This window comes from Homo sapiens, chromosome 5, assembly GCF_000001405.40.
Source record: "Homo sapiens chromosome 5, GRCh38.p14 Primary Assembly".
In the NCBI taxonomy this organism is placed as follows: domain Eukaryota; kingdom Metazoa; phylum Chordata; class Mammalia; order Primates; family Hominidae; genus Homo; species Homo sapiens.
Window position 1 is genome coordinate 76,657,634 of NC_000005.10, and position 20,553 is coordinate 76,678,186.

General features: G+C 40.1%; 1 protein-coding gene across 12 annotated transcripts in view; it reads left to right on the forward strand.

Annotated features, from left to right (window-relative positions):
• Positions 1-20,553, forward strand: part of IQGAP2 (IQ motif containing GTPase activating protein 2) — a 304,848-nt gene that overhangs the window by 254,349 nt on the left and 29,946 nt on the right. For all 12 annotated transcript variants that reach the window (NM_006633.5, XM_017008960.2, XM_047416641.1 and 9 more), the window contains 8 exons: positions 826-1,034; positions 7,393-7,542; positions 11,048-11,211; positions 14,126-14,350; positions 15,816-15,956; positions 16,319-16,403; positions 16,844-17,076; positions 19,585-19,717. In NM_006633.5, coding sequence (NP_006624.3) covers positions 826-1,034; positions 7,393-7,542; positions 11,048-11,211; positions 14,126-14,350; positions 15,816-15,956; positions 16,319-16,403; positions 16,844-17,076; positions 19,585-19,717 — 1,340 coding nt within the window. The remainder of the gene's footprint in view (positions 1-825; positions 1,035-7,392; positions 7,543-11,047; positions 11,212-14,125; positions 14,351-15,815; positions 15,957-16,318; positions 16,404-16,843; positions 17,077-19,584; positions 19,718-20,553) is intronic.

The following is a 20,553-nucleotide window of genomic DNA, read 5'->3' on the forward strand; positions in this document are numbered from 1 at the left end:
CGTCCTCAATGGACCAGACAATTTATTCTTACAGTTTACCCAGATCTGATCTCCCTAAGCATGTTAAAAATATTTTTCCAAGAGTCAGAGTGCCAGGAAATTAAAGCCTAAAGTTCCAGGTACTAAGGGGAAAACCCTTTTAGAATTTATGTGAGAATGTCCCTCTCAATAACAGGGGCTGACCCCTAGATTCTGAGCACCCTCCCTTGGCCGGTGCTCAAAGGACAAGGGCCAAGTTTCAATTTCTAAAATCTTTTTATTTCAGCTAAGTAGAACATTCGTTTTACTTATCATTCTGTTGGTTCCTGTTTGGCTTTTACAGTCCTCCCTTCCTGGCCCTTTTCTAATTCAGCTTTCACCTACTTCCGGCTCCTTCCCAAAGATCCTTTGGGCTGGGAGAAACCACTTTCTGCTTCCTGCAGCAAGAATGTAAGTCACTTATCTAGCTCAAGCACAAGGTCTCAGGGTCGAGGTAACTTATGTTAACTTTCTTTCCCAGGTTCCTGAGGAATGAGGCACAGATAGGACTATCTTCTTAGCGCATGAGTCCAGGGAACAGTGTGAGAGAGAGCTGATAAAAGGGATAAAAGGGGAGTTGATAACTAGAAAAGAGTGGGGCCAGATATCTGTTTTGTGCGTTTATTTATTGATCAGTTTCCTTGTCCAGATTTTAAATTGTGTGGGGGTGGGTAGAATGATTCTCACCCTAGACCAAGTACTTTCATTGGTATATTTTTCTAGTAATTATTTAAGACCTTGTTTCTTTCCTGTTGATAATCATTCCAAGCTTTCCTAATTAAAGTATACCTGTTCCTGTCACTGCAGTTGGCTCTGAAAACCCACCATTAACAGTAATTCGCAAATTTGTATACCTGCTGGACCAAAGTGATTTGGATTTCCAGGAGGAACTAGAGGTTGCACGATTAAGGGAAGAAGTAGTGACCAAGATCAGGGCCAATCAACAGCTGGAAAAAGACCTGAACCTGATGGACATCAAGATTGGACTGCTGGTGAAGAACAGGATCACACTAGAGGTCAGTGGGGTTTTTGGGACTGTCAGCTCCCAGAAGAGGGAAGACGCCTACATACAGTCAAGAGTCACTTAATGACAGGGATACATTCTCAGAAATGTAGCATTAGGTGATTTCATCCTGATGCAAACATCATAGAGCACTTACCTAAACATAGATGGTGGAGTCTACTACACATCTAGGCTATATGGTAAAAAAGCCTACTGCTCCTAGGCTACACACCTGTACAGCTTGTGACTGTACTGAATACTGCAGGCAATTGTAACACAATTGTAAGTATTTGTGTATCTAAACATAGCTCAACATAGAAAAAATACAGTAAAAATATAGTACTATAATCTTATAGGACTTATGTCTTATATGAGGTCCACTGTTGACTGAAACATTATGTTGTTTGTGGTTATATATGTTCATGACACTTTGGTCTAGCTAAGTTCATTTGGAATCTAAGATAAGTTTTTATCGTTTTTATTATAAATTAGTGGTTCTTCGTCTGTAAAATTTTAAGCCCGCCCATTTATAACATTTTGTAAGGCTTCTTTATCATTCTGAAATGAAATCTATATGATAAAATGTACTGATGTATATACCTTCAGAATAAGACTAGGGCCTTTATATGAATACAAAAGAGATATTTAAAGAGTAATTAATAATAAAAGCACACATTTTATTGAGAAAATGTATATGCCTGATGACACTGGAAGACATGATACAGTTACCAGAGGTGTAGACCTCTTCACAGAACAGCTACAGATTATGAGGGCTTCAGTGGCAAATGAGGCAGGAACTCATTTTCCAAAATGGAGAACAACTATTTGTAAAGTTCAACATTAGCCAAGTGTAGTCTCCACCCAATTTACATAGCAGTTGCAATTCTAGAAAATCCTAGCTTTTGTGTGGGGAAAATGTATTATGCATCTACATAAAACAATTAGATTCTAGGCTCAGATAATTACAAACAGAATCTTGACCCACGTAAATGACCAGTAAGACATTCAAAAGTTCTGTCATGCAAGGTGAGGGCAATTATTTACACAAGACCATCCCACAAATTGCCAGATCACAGAGCACCTCTCATCCCCAATCCCTGCTCACTAGAAACCAAGAGTGCCCTTCAATTGTTAAGATATTAAAAAACACCCCTACGTATTTCCAAAATGTGACTCCCTACAAAGACACACTGCCCCCGTTATGCCCCCATTGATAACTTCTAAATAAATTACGGTGTGGTTTCACATCTGTGTGAAACCTGCCAACATCAGGGCTCAAAAAAAAAAAAGTATAAAAAGTGTCATTTTTACCCAAGAACAGATGCCTAAGACCACTCTCCCTGTCCCTGTTCCCTTCCTATGTGCCACATCAGTTTTCAGAAAACTGATAGGTCAAAGAGGGAAACTGATCTTCTGGAAGCTCTGAGAAGGCTACAGTGGCTCATAGAGCGCCAGCGGCCAGCAACCAAGCGAACGTTCTGGACAACGGGGAGATGAGCAGCCACAGGAGGCTGCCAGTTACATGGGCATGTGAATGCCCCAGGCTGGTCCTCCAGACCTCATAAAGACACCAGGGCAATTGTGGAGGAGAAAATAAGAAAAACAGCATTTTATAAACAGAAATAATCATCTCTTCTAAATATTCAGGAATAAAACTACAGTTTAAATGTTCTACATTTAACTCTACTTTTATTATTTTATCCAGAAAAACAACAGTACTTTTTAAAAAACAATGTTATTTGTATTGTTTGACATCCATGAGAACTTTTAAAGTGTAATATATTCCAGAAGGATTTTCAGAGAATGCTTTTTATAGCCTTAAACTGCTGTTTCACGCTATCCCCATAAAATCATAAACAGGAAATGTCTTGCCTTTTAAAATAAAGGCTTAGTTGCAAATCAGTACATAGTTTAAATAATATGTATCTTTTGGAAACACAATCATGGCAAGTTATCAGATTTTTATGAATGCTTGAGGTTTTGTGGGGGTTTTTTAAAGCCACTTATCACTAATAGATAACATTGTGAAGTTTTTCAACATATTTGCAAACACCAGATATGTATCCAGCATTTTTTAGCGGTTAAATTAATGATTATTAAATATGTAGCTGTTAGCCTTGTCATTGACAGAATATTAGTAGTGATACAAGAACAGAGCAATTGAAGCTTTATTTATAGTAGTGAAAAAGTGGGAAACGACCTGAAGCCCAAAGCAATATGCAGAGGGCGATAGAATTAGTTTAATATGGATGTTGTATAGCCACTAAAAATGATGGTTTTTAGACTATTTTAAAGCAGGAGGAAAGGTTTGCGATATAGTAGAGGAGAAAATAGTGCCTAAGGTAGTATGATTTCTTTTATTATCAAAAAATAATAATCCAGAAGAAGAAAGAAGTTAAGTGATTTTTCTTTGGGTGATAGTTAAGTTTATCTTCTCCCCCTCCTCCCCACACCTTTTTATTTTTAACAATGAGTGTGTGTTTAGTGAGGAAAAGAGAGATTGTAAAGGGAAATGGCTTTGTTCTTATAGAACAATGCTAGCTCTTGCTAGTAACCTTAACATTTTTTATAGTTCTTTTAAATCAGCATTCCTCCTAAAATCCTCAAAATCTGTAGGTCAGTGAAGTGGCTAACATTGGTTTTAGGCAAAAAGAATGGTTTGGAGAAAGAAGACAGAGCAACTGAAATAAGAGGTTTCCTGGAGGCACAGGAGCCAAAAAATAAAAAATAAAAAAGTATAGGTCAGCCTAGCTGGAAGGAAAGCCTAAATTAAGAGACTGAAGCTAATCTAAAACTAGTGCTAAAATTCCCATTCATGAGTATGATGTATCATCTAGGAGCCCAGATTTGCAGGCCAGTACTACCTGAAACTCAGGACTGAGATTTTTAACTATTAATACTTAATTATACTACTTCACTGCTTATATTAACATGTGGCCTTGAGCATGTTTCTTAACCTCTCTCTGAGTGTGTTTTCTTCCCTGGAAAATGTTCTAGGTGATTTACATATATTTTTAATCTTCACAGCAACTCAGTAAAATTGCTGTTATTACACTCACTCTACAGATGAGGAAACTGAAGCTTAGGTTAACCTGTGTAGGTTTACCAAGCTAATTATACTCTGCAGATACCCATATCTTTTATGACTCCAAAGCCCAAGCCCAAGCCCTTCATACTAGCCCACACTTTCTACAAAAACGTTTATATCATAGCATACTACCTGCATGCAGATATCCCTTTATCAGAGCAAGGGGAAAGGTGGTGGCAAAAGGGCAATACTGAGATGGGGGACTATCATGAACAAGCCAAATACGGTTGCTCTTTCAAACCATGGTATTCCTCCAATGTTCAATATTTATTAAGAATCAGGAAAAGTGAGTTTTGATGAATAAAAAGTATCTGCCCCTGTTTGTTATCCTTGTCTGGGTTGGCTCTTGTGTCCATCTTCAAGCTTCCCAAAGCAAACCTCCATTCACACAAGCACATTCTGGAGCAAGTCAGAACCTCACAGGGAGAAGGAAGAGGGGCTATCCCCATTGCTGTGCCGGGCTCTGTCCTTGGAGCTCCAGCAGACAGGTGCTGTTCCATCAGCACAGCCACCGGCCCGTCCTCTCTCTTCCCCTTTCTGGGTTCAGCATTGCCTCCGTTGCTTCCCTCCCTCCATTCCTCTCATTATCCTGCCTTCACCAACTCTCTCTGTTTCTAATGCAGAGGAATTTAGATCTGCCCCAGATCTTGCTCACCACCCCTACCCTCTCATCTGTATATGGCAAAAACCATTAACCAGAAGATGAAGTCTGCAACAAAACAAAAAGCCCCCAGTTTCTAGAGTGACCTCCACTGAAAACACTTGGGAGGGAAAAGGGGGGAATTATAGGTAACAAGACTTTCCTGTCGTATATTTAAAATCAAGGTGATAGATTTATTCTGTGTATTTGAGGGAGTTGAACGATTTACATACATGTCGCCAGCTATCTGAAGAGGAAAAATGTGGATTAACTGGCACTGTAAGCCACATTTATTCTAGTGATGTCTTAGGACTTCTTATAGATAAGGATTATCAGACAGCCGCCTGCCTAGATTCCCCCTTGACCTCTATCTGGTGGTAACTGCACTTCCTTTCTTTGTACTGAAGACATTTTATATATTGGTAAAACAAGGGGGAAATGTTGCTTTTTTAAAAATGTTATCGGAATGTAAATCAACTCCCCTCCCTCCTTCTCTATAAAAGCAATTGGGGTGACAGAAGTAAGTGGGTAAGTCAAGGCTGCCTCTCTCTGAATTGAGAATGAGAAAGAATAAAATCATGGACCTGGAAGGCAACAGATGTAGCCACATGGAACTGTCTTACTCCAGAGCTTCCTAGAGCTCTGGACCCCAGCTGCTCAATGGGCTGACCCCAGCTATGGGAGAATGGGGTGCCAGGAAGTAAACAGATTTAGAGCTTGCCATTTAGGCAAGACCTGACGGTGGTTCTCATCCCCAGGGGCAACTGGAAATGGGGGCGGGCCCATGTCCGCTTGTGAAAATGACTAGGGGCCCCTGCTGATAGCCGGTGGTGGGAAGTGGCCAGGGTGATAGACGCTGGTAGTGCATGCAGAGCAAAACACTGTTGTCCACACTGCCCATAGTGCCCCTCTAAGGACACTGGGCCAGCATTCCTGATGTGCAAATAGAGTCCTCACGTGGAGGTCCAGCTAAGAGCTCAGTCAAAAATCTGAAAAAAGTTTTAGGAAAAGCAACTTTCTTGCCACTTACTCTGGGACAGTGAACTAATGTTAAGTGGCAGGGGAGGTGTTCTAGAACAGCGACTTTCAAATATGAGTCGCATGCCATTAGGGTCATGAAATCAATTTAGTGTGTCACAATGAGCAACCTTTAAAAGTGGAATAGAATAAAAGCAAATAGAAAATATCAGCATGTACCATTAGTGAGAGAGAGGGTGTATGTGTGTTCACTAATAAAAGATGGAAAATGTATTTCTTACTGCGGGTCCCAGACTTCTGAGTTGCCAGTACCACAGGCATGAGCCACCACACCTGGCTTATTTTTAAAATTTGTAGAGATGGGGTCTTGCTCTGTTGCCCAGGTTGATCTCAAACTCCTGGCCTCAAGCCATCCTCCCATGTTGGCCTCCCAAAGTGCTGAGATCACAGGCATGAGCCACCACACTTGGCCCGCTTCCAACTTTTCTTCCGAAGTTTCCTGGCTTCTCTTAAGGCCTCATAGAATTGAAGAAAGTTAGGGCCTTGCTTTGGATTAGGCTTAGGCTTAAAGGAATATTGTGCTGGTTTAATCTTCTATCCATTCCACTCAAACTTTCTCCATATCAGCAATAAGGCCATTTTGTCTTTTTAATCATTCATGTGTTCACTGAAGTAGCATTTTTAATTTCTCTCAAGAAATTTTTCTTTGCATTCATGACTTGGCTGTTTGGTGCAAGAGGCCTAGCATTACGCCTGTCCTAGCTTTTGATATGCCTTCTTCACTAAGCTTAATAATTTCTAGCTTTTGATTTAAAGTGAAAGATGTGTAACTTTCACTTGAATACTTTGAGGCTATCATATGGTTATTAATTAACCTAATTTCAATATCATTGTGTCTCAGGAAATAGGGGGCCCAAGAAGAGAAGAGAAAAAGGAAAGTTGGTGAAGCAGTCAGAACAGACACATTTATTGGTTAAGTTCTATGGGCGTGGTTTGTGGCACCCCAAAACAATTACAATAGTAACATCGAAGATCACTGATAGGCTGGGCACGGTGGCTTACGCCTGTAATCCCAGCACTTTGGAAGGCCAAAGCGGGTGGATCAAGAGGGCAGGAGATCGAGACCAGCCTGGCCAACATGGTGAAACCCCGTCTCTACTAAAAATACAAAAATTAGCCAGGTGTGGAGGCGCGTGCCTGTAGTTCCAGCTACTCAGGAGGCTGAGGCAGTGGAATCGCTTGAACCTGGCAGGCAGAGGTTGCAGTGTGCTGAGGTTGCACCACTGCACTCCAGCCTGGGTGACAAAGCGAGACTCCATTTCAAAAAAAAAAAAAGATCACTGATAACAGCGCCCCGTAATAGATAGTATAATAATGAAAAAGTTCTACATATTGCAAGAATTATCAAAATGTGACACAGAGACACAAAGTAAGCACATGCTATTGGAAAAAAATGGTGACAATAGGCATGTTCAATGTAGGATTGCACAAACCTTCAATTTGCAAAGAAAAAAAATGCGGTATCTGTGAAGCACAGTAAAGCAATGCACAATACAATGAGGTATGCCTGTATTTCCAATTACGTGTGTTTCAATCCTATATGTGAAGGGAGGAGATAAAGAGTATGAGAATTAAAAAGGAGTAATCTCATCAAATTTTTTACAGGATGTAATTTCACATAGTAAAAAGCTGAACAAGAAAAAAGGAGGAGAAATGGAAATACTGAATAACACCGACAACCAAGGAATAAAAAGTTTGAGTAAGGAGAGGAGAAAAACACTAGAAACATATCAGCAGCTGTTTTACCTTTTACAGGTGAGAACAATTTATCGTTCACTCTGAGTTTGGGAGTAATACTATGTTACATGTTTGTGGCTTACAGGGAGTATTTTGTCATGCTTCAGCTATAATAGCATACATGTTTTGAGCATCTACTAAGTACCAAGTGCTGTTGTTGGTGCTTTACATACATTATCTCATTTAATTCTTACCATAACCCTGGGAGCCGTGAGAGAATGAGTACTGTTGTTATTCCTGCATTACAGATGAGAAAACTGAGACACAGCCAGTAAATGATAAAGCAGGGGTTTTGAAACGCAGGCAGTTTGACTTCAGAGACCATGCTCTTTACAGTATTATACTACGGTTACCTTCAGAAACAATATAAATCTGATAATAACAAAACAAAAACAGGTGCTGTCATCCATGAAAAAATTAAAATAACTGTATGTGAAAAACAGATATTTACCAGAACCAGTCTCCCCTTCTATGGGGGAAGAGCCAGAGGGTTTGGGATTTCAAAATAATATTTCTTTTTTCTTGTATTATTTTCATGGCATTACTATGATCTAAATGAATAGTAATTTTCCATTGCTTCCTGAGTGTTGGTGAGAACTGATAAGTTTGACTGGTTATGGTTGGACTTTGATGGATCACTTATTGTTTTGTTTGACCATTGATTCAGCCCGTCAGCCCTACTAGCACATACAGCTAGTCACAGAGGAAACTGCATGATAGCAATAGAAATTAACAAGCATCCTCTTCAGCAGGAAAAGTTTCCCCAAAGAGGTGGATCCATAGTTCTCCCTTGTAAGAGTCAGATGTCTCTCAGAGTGGGGCCACTGCTGGGATTCCTTCAAAGCCTGGAGATGCTTAGATCTTTGTTTGAGGATGTCACTGGCAGTAGATGTATAGAGAGCACATTACACAAACCATAAATAAGAGGCGTGGCTAACCTCATGGAGAAACACGATGTTAATTTTGGTAGGTTTGAAAATTCTCTACTTGGAATAAGAGATTGGAGAACATCTTCAAACATACGAACATCTTCACACAAGTGGCCACCACATGGCGGCACAGAAGGAAAAGGTTAACAGTACTTAGAATTGTCTGTGGAACCCACTGTTTCACGCCAGCAAACCTAGAAAGAAAGGGGGCTCACTTTAAACAGGAAAGGACTTTGGTCTGCCTAATTTAGTAGTCAACCACCAGTTTGAAATTTAATCTTAGGCACTTATCATTTTTTACACCCATGAAATTTCAAGCATATTGAAGATTCTTTAGAATTTAGTTTTCTCAATTTGACAGAATTTGTCATAAGTTAAAATCTAGTCATTGTTTATTATATAGGTGGAGGCACATTTATGGGAAGAAGAAAAAGTGCAGGAGCATGTTTAGAATAATTCCACCAAACTTGATCCGCAAACAATCCAAAATGTACAACCAAAGGGTGCAACCATTCAGTTGTATCAAGTGAACTCTCTCTTGAAATCATATATTTTTCTTCTCCTTCTCTTCTTTTGAGGCGTTAGCCCAATATCACTAAAGAAATTATAGAAAAGCAAATGGCCTGGATTCCTTCGACCCGTTGGTTACACTTTAGCAAGACTTCTTTTTTTGTAGAGACAAGATGTCACTCTCCCACCCAGGCAGGAGTGCAGTGGCGCAACCACAGCTCACTGCAGCCTTCATCTCCTGGGCTCAAGCAATCCTCCCACCTTGGCCTCCTGAGTAGCTGGGACTACAGACACCTGCCACAATGCCTGGCTAATTTTTTCATGGTTTTTGTAGAGACAGGGTTTTTCCATGTTGCCCAGGCTGATCTCAAACACCTGAGCTCAAGTGATCCACCCATCTCAGCCTCCTCCTAAAGCACTAGGATTGCAGGCATGAGACACCACACCTGACCTAGCAAAAATTCTTAACCAAAGCCGCAGTCAGCTAGTATAGGTTTTTGGGGGGTTTGTCTCTTCAGTATGAACCTAAATTTAAAATTTTTAGGTAACCTTAGGAGGAATGGTGAGTAGGCATCTTTCTTTAGTTATAGAGTAAGTTTCCTTTCTCCTAATTCCTATATACTTCACATTGAAAAACAGTCACTACAGAGCTATCAAGAAAAAGTACTGAGCTGCTTATTTATAAAATTTCAACCAATCATTATGAACTTAAAAGTAAACCTAAGTGATAAAGTAAACCAGAATTTAAGGCTTCTTAAAAGCTGCCCAAACTGCTTGAGTATATTAGATGAATACCAGTTTTCAAGTATGGAAAAATTTTCTTCTCTTGTCAGAAAGAAGATGAAGATTAGGAGTATTAAATTTCTCTTTGTACATACTTCCTCTATAACCTGAACATTATTGTTCTCTTTGAACTTCTACCTGGTAGGTGTAGCTGCTGGAGAAAAGCCACATCACCATGAAGGCTGGTTCTGTATCCAATGGGTCCATCCTCATCAGAGCCCACAGGGTTCCACGTCCATTTTAAGTTCTTTGTTGTTTTTTGCTCATGGTCTTCTGGCACTTCCCTTATCAACTGTCCTGACCTTCACCCCTCTCTTCAGCCTCCCTACCTCACTCCCCCTTCTCACTCTGTGTAGAACATTGTGGCCATTTTGCTGTTTCCACATTGTAAATGTATTCTTTTCTTTTTCTTTCCAGTCTGACAAGATAGTATGCATTTCTACTCATCTATCAATCCTTCTAGGCCAGTCTATGTAGCCGGGCCCTTAGTCCACTTTCTTTTTTTTTTTTTTTTTTTTTTTGATACAGAGTCTGTGTTGTCTAGGCTGGAATACAGTGGTATGATCACAGCTCACGGCAGCCTTGAAATACTGGGCTCAAGTGATCCTCCCAACCTCAGCCTCTTGAGTAGCAGGGACTGCATGCGCACACCACCACACCCGGCTAATTTATTTTTACTTTTTTCTAGAGACAGGGTCTGTCCATGTTGCCCAGGCTTGTCTCGAACTCCTGGGCTCAAGCTATCCTTCTGCCTCTGTCTCCCAAAGCGCTGGAATTATAAGTGTGAGCCACCATGCCCAAGCTTTGCCAGTGTCTTTGGACACCAGATTCTACTGGCTACCCGCCCTGTTTTCTGCGTCTCTACAATAAATATTAATATGTGGTTCAAAAAGGTCAACAGTGAAAAGTAGATATAATATGTTAAGTGTATCATATAGTGTGTATCATTTAAATCCTATCATAATTTTCTACTATAGCTTCCTATAGTATGATATGAATAATATTAAGTAATTAATATTTGATATTAATATTTTAAAATATTAATATATGATAGGAAGCTAAAGTAGAAAGTTATATAATATCAGTCTATAGGAAACTGTAGTAGAAAGTTACACTATATACTAATAGCATAGAGATGAGTACCTGGCATATAAAAATTATTTTATATACTCATCTATATGCTTTTAGTGACATTAAGTCATTGAAGAGCAGGGAATCAGATACTGCTTTGTGCTTTAATAATATATTAACTTATTGTTTTGTGGGATTTTTTTGTTTTCTTTTTCCTTCTTTCCTTCTAGACCAACCCTTTATACTTGGCTAAGCTGATTTTCCAGATGCCACAGAACAAGTCCACTAAATTTATGGATACTGTTATTTTCACACTATATAATTATGCCTCTAATCAGCGAGAAGAATATCTACTTCTCAAGCTTTTTAAAACTGCTCTGGAGGAAGAAATAAAGTATGTATACAAATATGTATGTAAAAATACCAGTGAATCAATCCTTTTGTTAGTGGTGGCTGTCTTTGATTTACTAAAATTATTTTTAAATTCTTATAAGTTATTCCCACATATTAAAATATATCAAGTTTCTTGAGAATACTTCTATATTATTAGAGCTATATTCAAGTACCATTTTCTCCCACCAGTGATACTTTCTCTAGTGTTAAATTAACTTTTGATTTTGTATGCCTGTAACAACTGAAAATCAATAGCATATTGAAAGTCAGTGAAAACATTTAACTTAATTAAAATTCTGAGTAGTAAAGCCATTAACAGGTGGGAATGCAGAGTGCAATCTCTGCCTAAATAGTCTTCCCTTCTTTCTAGAACTTAAACTACTTTTGCTAATTTATTTTCTGACTCAGTTAATGTAAAAATTGTATAGGTAGCTATAATGAGTGGGCTGAGAAACAAGCATGAGAAATGTCCTTAGCTCAGGTGGCCTCCCTAACTTGTGGAAACCTTAAGTTATACCAGTTCCTATTGGTTTTGGGAGCACGGGAGCCAGGCACCTCTGCCCACCAGGTGTCTGTAAGCCCACGAGACATGTGATTCGTGAGAAATAGGAATGCTATGCAGTGGAATGTGGTAAGTACTAAATGAAGGACGCGTCTAAATGAAGGACATGTACAATGTATCAGGTTAGAGGACAGGAGGAAAGATTCCAACTAGGTTGACTAGTAAAGATTTTATAGAAGAGGAGGTGCTTGACCTAAAACCTTGAGGAACAGCTACAATTTTTATAAGAAGAGATAGAAGAGGGAAATAAGGCACAATGGTGGTGGAAACAGCATGGGCATAGGTCCCAGGAGGAAAGTAGATTAGTCTAGCCAGAAAGTGACTTAATTACTAACTACCAGGAGATGAATCCTGAATGATAGGGTAGGGCCAGGTAGTGGGAGACTCTGAGTAAAGGCCCAGCTGTTAAGGCTCTATTTGCTTTTTGGGGATCTGTGAAATCTTTTTTCTTCTTCTTCCTAGGCCGGAGTGCAATGGCATGATCTCAGCTCACTGAAACCTCTGCCTCCTGAGTTCAAGCAATTCTTCTGCCTCAGCCTCCTGAGTAGCTGGGACTACAGGTACCCGCCACCACGCCTGGCTAATTTTTGTATTTTTAGTAGAGAAGAGGTTTCACCATGTTGGCCAGGCTGGTCTCGAACTCCTGACTTCAGGGGGATAGGTCCCAGAGAGATGGCGGGTGAAGCTGTGCATGCACGTGAGGTCTGAGGGGAGAACATGGGTTTTGGTTGGGCTCTGGTAGACCAGTTATTCTTTTGTTTGGGCATTGATTCACCCTCATTCGCCTTACAAGCACCTACAATTAGTCAAAAAATAAACAAAAAGGCCGGGCACGGTGGCTCACGCCTGTAGTCCCAGCACTTTGGGAGGCCAAGACAGGCGGATCACGAGGTCAGGAGATCAAGACATACTGGCTAACATGGTGAAACCCCATTTCTACTAAAAATACAAAAACAAAATTAGCCAGACATGGTGGCGGGCGCCTGTAGTCCCAGCTACTCAGGAGGCTGAGACGGGAGAATGGTGTGAACCCAGGAGGCAGAGCTTGCAGTGAGCTGAGATCGCGCCACTGCACTCCAGCCTGGGCGACAGAGCCAGACTCCGTCTCAAAAAATAAAATAAACAAAACTAGCATTTAAAGGTGGGAAGAGGAGCACAGCAAAGAAAATAAAAAGGAATGACTGGGTAAGATAAGAACCAGGCATTGTCAAGCTCTAAAGGGGAAGGATGTGGAAGAGGGAGAGAAAGTGGTCAAAAGAGAAAGGGGAGGAAGAGAGGAGAGAGGCCCTAAGAATCAGCAACCATAAATCAAGAAAAGCTCTCTCAGCCATCTGACGTGGCTAGAAGCTGTATTGCAGCTTTGAGTGGGATTTGAAAAAGTGAAAACAGTTCATTCAATCAAGAAAGTTGTTTTTGAAATTTGATAACTACAGGGGCATGGTACTTGTACCGTGTCACCCAGTATTGCTAGTCCTGGTCCATTTTCAGCTCATACCTGCCTTCTAGATTGAAATTGAGGCTGTGACTTTATTTTCAGATCCTCAAATTGCTCATCTAAGAAACATACACGTTATAAACTGGGAACAGTGGCTCACGCCTGTAATCCCAGCACTTTGGGAGGCCAAGGCGGGTAGATCATTTGAGGTCAGAAGTTGGGACCAGCCTGGCCAACATGGTGAAACTCTATCTCTCTGAAAATACAAAAATTAGCTGGGCATGGTGGCATGTGCCTGTAATCCGAGCTACTCAGGAGGCTGAGATAGGAGAATCGCTTGAACCCTGGAGGAGGAGGTTGCAGTGAGCCAAGATGGCGCTACTACTCTCCAACCTGGGCAGTAGAGTGAGACTCTGTCTCAAAAAGAAAAAAAGAAATATACACCTTATAAATGATTGCTTGTTTTTAAAGCACACCAACTTAGATTTTCATAGAGAAAAGTATAATTCCATGAAGTCCTTGCCTTCCAGAGGGAGAATACATTGTTTAAAACTGTATCCAGGCCCAGAACCATGGCTCAGGACTGTATTTCCAGCACTTTGGGAGGCCAAGGCAGGTGGATCACCTGAGATCAGGAGTTCGAGACCAGCCTGGCCAACATGGTGAAACCCCGTCTCTACTAAAAATACAAAAAGTAGCCCCGGGCATGTGGTGGTGCACACCTGTAGTCCCAGCTACTCAGGAAGCTGAGGCAGGAGAATCGCTTGAACCTGGGAGGTGGAGGTTGCAGTGAACCAAGATCACACCACTGCACTCCAGCCTGGGTGACAGAGCAAGACTGTCTCGGGGAAAAAAAAAAAAAAAAAAAATCTGTATCCATGGAAGCAAACCATTTTGTTTTGTCTTGGGCTTTTTTAGATCAAAAGTGGACCAGGTACAGGACATAGTTACTGGTAACCCTACAGTCATCAAGATGGTCGTCAGCTTCAATAGAGGTGCCCGGGGACAGAACACCCTGCGCCAACTCCTGGCTCCAGTGGTAAAAGAGATCATCGACGACAAGTCGCTGATTATCAACACAAACCCTGTAGAGGTGTACAAGGCTTGGGTGAACCAACTAGAAACACAGACTGGAGAGGCCAGGTAATAGAATCAGGAAGGTGTTGGTCTTCTGTTATGTTTTATGATATTTTTACATGTGTATTTATTGATACTCTTAAACTTTGTTAGGCGAACTGTACAAAGTCAGTTATCAATCCAAAATGTTACCTCCCTTTAACATATCCATGCAAATTACATCTTGATACTAAATGGTATTTTCACATTTCAGAGCCAGGTGATCCCCAATGCCACAACTTCCATAATTCTCTCCCTTGTTTATTTTCTTTGTGTATTTCTAAACCTAGACCTAGAGATGGTGTAGACTCTCTCTTCACCTGATAATACGTACTTTTCTTTACAGTTACCAGGCAAGTAACTTTAAGGTGTAAGGTTTAACAATCCAGGTTGGATTGGCTTATTCTGGGTGGGTGGTTGTAGATTTAAGCAACCCTAGCTTCTTGTTTCCTGTAAAAGGATGTCTGTGAAATAAAGTGTACACAGAGAATTATGTAATTATGTGGGTGGTTGTTACAGTACTGTTTGTAATAATAAAAAGTCAGGAAAAGTCAAAATATTTAGCTTTGAGGGATTTGTTAAATAAATGTTTGTATAGCACATAATGGAATAAGTATTTGGAATCGTGGTATAGATATACATTTGTTGGCACAGAAAAAAATGTTCAGGGTATATATTCCAGTTGGAGTTAGGTGCAATAACCCATTTTTCTGGGAAAAGAATGCTCATTACATACGCCACACAGGATCTGTATAGAATGTCGATTACACAAATTGCATTACACCCATCAATATGCGAGGCCCACAGACATACATGCACAGAGGAGATTGGACAGTTATGCACTAAGGTATGAAAATTGGTTGTCCCAAACACCGCATATTCTCACTCATAGGTGGGAATTGAACACATGGACACAGGAAGGGGAACATCACACTCTGGGGACTGTTGTGGGATTGGGGGAGGGGGGAGGGATAGCTTTAGGAGATATACCTAATGCTAAATGACGAGTTAATGGGTGCAGTACACCAGCATGGCACATGTATACATATGTAACTAACCTGCACATTGTGCACATGTACCCTAAAACTTAAAGTATAATAATAATAAAATAAAAAATAATTAATTTAAAAAAAAGAAAAGAAAATTGGTTGTCCTCTCTGGTATTGTTTTAGATTATATGTGATTTTATTTTTCTGTAATGAACATTTGCTTTTTATAATTAAAAGAAATTTAGCTGAGTCTAAATTACCTGGGTCTGCCTCTTATCTTGCCAGAAGAGACCAGAGGGAAGGCCTCAAGTCCTTCCTGTTCCAAGTTGCAGAAGGTACCCTCTGTGAAGGTGGAGCCTCCCCTCATTTAGTAAACATTTTGTTACTGGAGTCAGTGGCAAAGTCCAATTCACTATACAAAGCTTGACTATAGAACCAACTTGGCAGCAAAATTAATGCTTGTACCTAAGCCTCCAGTTAATTTAAAGCCTTTGTGTTTTCAGCAAGTTGCCTTATGATGTGACCACAGAACAAGCTCTAACATACCCAGAAGTGAAAAATAAACTGGAGGCTTCCATTGAGAACCTGAGAAGGGTCACCGACAAAGTCCTGAATTCTATCATTTCTTCCCTTGATCTACTGCCGTAAGTTGTACTTGCAGCAAGTTTAACATTCTTTCCTGGAACGTTCTTGGAATACGATGTAAAATAAGCCCCTGTAGTGAAGACAGCAGTTTTCCCTTATATTGTGTTTACTATTTTAAAAGATTGCCTACATTTACCTTTTAAATTCCTGACTGTTCTCTAAAGAAGGGGCAATACTTCAGTAGCAAACACAGCTCAGTTATTATCATCAGTGGAAGTCCTGTGATTCCATTACCATCTCATCTTATGTTTAATTTTTAGAAAAACTACTCAGCTGAAGTTGACTGGAACAATTGCTGTGTGTTTTTTCCTCACTCCGCCTTTTTTCCATTATTTTCTTTTGTCATCTGTTTTATATGTAGTTATGGATTGAGGTATATAGCCAAAGTACTGAAGAATTCGATCCATGAGAAATTCCCCGATGCAACAGAAGATGAGCTATTAAAGGTAGATTTTCAAGGGTAATCTCACCATAGCTTCTCCTGGGGGTATGAATCAAAATTACCAACATATAACTTTGTAAGATTATTCCCCATGTATGATTATTTATAATAAGCTGCAGGTCTTCTGTTTCTAATGACTCTCAAGATAATTGATTAAGCTGAGGTTAATTTGGAGATCCTAGACATTATTGAAATTCTTTGCATTAGAGCATTTTGGGGGCAATGAGCATTTTTTCATCAAAAATAACTTTGCAAATTATGCTATTAATAATGTGTGATTATATTCATTGCCTTTATTAAACTCCTTGTTAGGATTTACATCAGAAAATGATCTGCTTTCTCTTGGGAAATGTAGGAGAATATATATCTTTAAAAAAAAAAAGAAAACTAAAACTCTTGAGTTTTCTCTCTTAAAAATGGTCATGCACTTCTGCGTCACTCCAGATTGTTGGAAACCTCCTGTACTATCGGTACATGAATCCAGCCATTGTAGCTCCAGATGGCTTTGATATCATCGACATGACAGCTGGAGGTCAGATAAATTCTGACCAAAGGAGAAACTTAGGATCAGTGGCCAAGGTTCTTCAGCACGCAGCCTCCAACAAGCTGTTTGAAGGAGAAAATGAGCATCTCTCATCTATGAACAATTATTTATCAGAGACGTATCAGGAATTCAGGTGAGAGGGGCCCTTAGTTTTGGAGAAACGTGCAAGAATGGTAGGCAAGAATAATATGTGCTCTGTGCCCAGAGCTAGAGTGGGCATGGAGGACAGGAACCCCAGGTGGTTACAAGCATTTCTTCTACCAGCCACTGGGGAAAGAGGAGAGAGGGAAGTGCAGGCAAGATTGCCTCTGTCTGGCGATCCTATCGCACCCCCACCACAGCACTCCTATTACACTGAGTCTTTTCTGTGTGTATTATTTCTGCTGCTGACAAAATGGCATACTTGTTCTTCCTTGTATGCTACAGGCTTCCAGTACCTAGAATTTAAAAATCAAAATAGCAGATTTCTGCTTCTTTCAACTTAAGAAGAGAGGAATCATTTTTAAAAAGTTTTCCGGTGAGGAAGAACTTGCTTATCTACGTCAGATACATTTGACCCTTGATTAACACAGGTTTGAACTGCTCGGGTCTATTTATATATGGATTTTTTCAACCAAAGACAGAGAGAAAATACAGTATTCATGGGATGCAGAACCCACATATACAAACAGATGACTTTTCACATACATGGGTTCCACAAGGCCAATTTCAAACTTGAGTATGCACAAATTTTGGTGTGTATGGGGGTCCTGGAACCAATCCCCCAAACATACCAAGGAACGACTGTAGTAGGAAATGGAATACTTGATTTTGAAAGGTTAGGAAAACCCAGATTTTATATTTGTTGATGATTGTGTATGTGAATATGTTCTGTTCTATTCTCAAGCCTTTCTTAATGACACATGTAAGAAGATTTAATTCTATTGATTTTGTGTTTCCAAATTATATCACTAATCATTAACAAGAAAGGCATGAGTCTGGTAGTCAGATTCACTCCTCCTGGAGCTCTGAGGAAACACTTTCCTCTTGTCATGTTTGTTCTCATGTCTGCCATTTAATCAACAGGCCATAGAAGTGTAACATCAGTTTGGCCTCTTTTAATCCTCACTTGGAAACTCATTTCTCATTCCTCGGTCTCCCTTGGAGTGAGTGACTTACTAGAAAACAAAGGTAGTTCATGATTATTCATTTCTATTTAGAATTTGTGGTCTTTTGTGAGAAAATTGCCCCAAATCCTCCTACTACAGAAAGTGTTGATTTTTCAAGCTAATTTTTCATTCTCCTCACTGACTAACAAAGTAATATCCAGGCTGGGCAACATAGGGAGACCTCATCTCTACAAAAAATTTAAAAAATTATCTGGGCATAGTGGTAAGCACCTGTAGTCCCAGCTACTCAGGAGGCTGAGATGGGAGGATCACTTGAGCCTTGGAGGTCAAGGCTGCAGTGAGCCGTGTTTGTGCCACTGTACTCCAGCCCAGGTGACAGGGTAAGACTCTGTCACACACACACACACACACACACACACACACACACACACACACACAAAGTAATATCCATTTCCCACATTTCTCATGAACTTTTAACTGCTGTTATTCCTATCAGTCATTTATGTTCCCACCTATTCTTTATTTAAAAAGAAACAAGACCAAAGAAGTGAGCCTCTTCTAAACTTGTCCTTTCTTCCACTCATATTTATCCTTTGTGTTTCTCAGAAATCTACAAAAAATTATAACCAAAGCAGCATAGGAAAGCCGACTGTTACATGGGAACATGCTCCCCACAACAGGGCTCTGCTGTTTAACCTCCCCCAGCCTCTGGCTGGGAAAGCAGAGGTCATTTCTGGTACATAAGACCCAGGTGCCTGTAGGAGAGATGCCGACAATGATTTCAGGCATATGAAACATTTACAACTTTATAGAATAAAATGTATATTCGACCTGCACAAGAATTGTTTAGGCAAAAAATACATAGAACTATTCAACTGTGATCACAGCATGCCTCACTTCTCTTGATCTCTGTCAAAACTTGCTTTAGCTTAAAATAGACTTTTTAGGGTCTGAGTCCTGGGACATGTTATGTATTTGGGTGTCTAGCCTTAACAATCTTTCCATCGGCCAGCAAATATTTGCAGCAACGAAGAAGAGTAGACTTAATCTCATTTTTGTCAAACTGGTAACAGAAGCTCTGAAGGGTGATTAGGGTGATGTAGGCCCAGGAGCCTGTGCTGTTTAAAGCAGCAAATTTGACTAATTGCTTTTTTTTCTATTGTATTCCTCACACAGACTTGATTCTTAGATCAAGAATTATCATTTTTGACTTTTTAAGTTTCAGGGACCATTTTTAAAATAACATTTTTAAGATGACCTACGCATAGGTCACTATATCACTAAGTCACAAACAGGGCCTGAGGCCCTTGCCACTCTCTCCAATCCTGTTTGAGGAGCTGGGTCCAATATCCAGAAACATGGATGCAGCTCCGACAGCCAGGAGCCAGCCTGGAAGAAGCTGTAACACGTCCTCTCAAGGTTTGAGATGGGAACAAAGTACATGTCATCATTCAAAATTTCCTAGCTATTTTGATGAAACTGTTTAATGCACATGTTTGAGTCTGTCTTAAGACTTTTCCCCCCTTTATTAGGAAATATTTCAAAGAAGCATGTAATGTCCCTGAGCCAGAAGAGAAGTTTAATATGGACAAATACACAGACCTGGTGACAGTCAGCAAACCAGTCATTTATATTTCAATTGAAGAAATCATCAGCACACACTCAGTAAGTGGGGATGGGGAGCCATCTTAGCAATGGACCCATGATTTAGGCATCTGTTATCTTGAAAATGCTTAATCTCTACAGGACTTATTGTACACATGTGCTAATACTCATATTCTTAACCCTAAAAATCTCGCAATTATTTATTCCATGACTCTTATACATTAATAAAACTCCTTCTCCCAAACAACAAAATTCTATTTTTACATAATTATTCCCTGACTCCTAGACATTAATAAAACTTCTCCCCAAAAAAGAAAGTGTACTTTTGGCATAATCCATTTACAAAGCCAGATTGTGACTGGAATGGTGGCATATGCCTGTAATCCCAACACTTTGGGAGACTGAGGCAGGAGGATCACTCAAGCCCACAAGTTTGAGACTAGCCCGGGCAACATAGTGAGACCCCTATCTCTACTAAAAATTTTTTAAAAACTAGCCGGGTTTGGTGGTACATGCCTGTAGTCACAGCTACTTAAGAGGCTGAGGTGGGAGATCACTTGAGCTCAGGAGTCTGAGGCTGCAGTGATCTATGATCGTGCCACTGCACTCCAGCCGGGGCAACAGAGCGAGACCCTACCTCAAAAAATAAATAAATAAATAATAAAAATAAAGCCAGATTGTAAATATGCAGTTTAAGCCCTGAGCCAGGACAGGCTATGGTGTTCTCATCCGCCAAAGCTATGCTATGTAGACCTACACCCTGTCTCTCCCCTCTTCCAGGAACCCTCTCAGCTTTTCCAGTAATTTTCTGGGGGAAATGAGAATATTCTTTTTATTCTAATGTTTTAACATAAAGTGGTAATAAACAGGCTACGCAACGAAAACAAGAAACTACC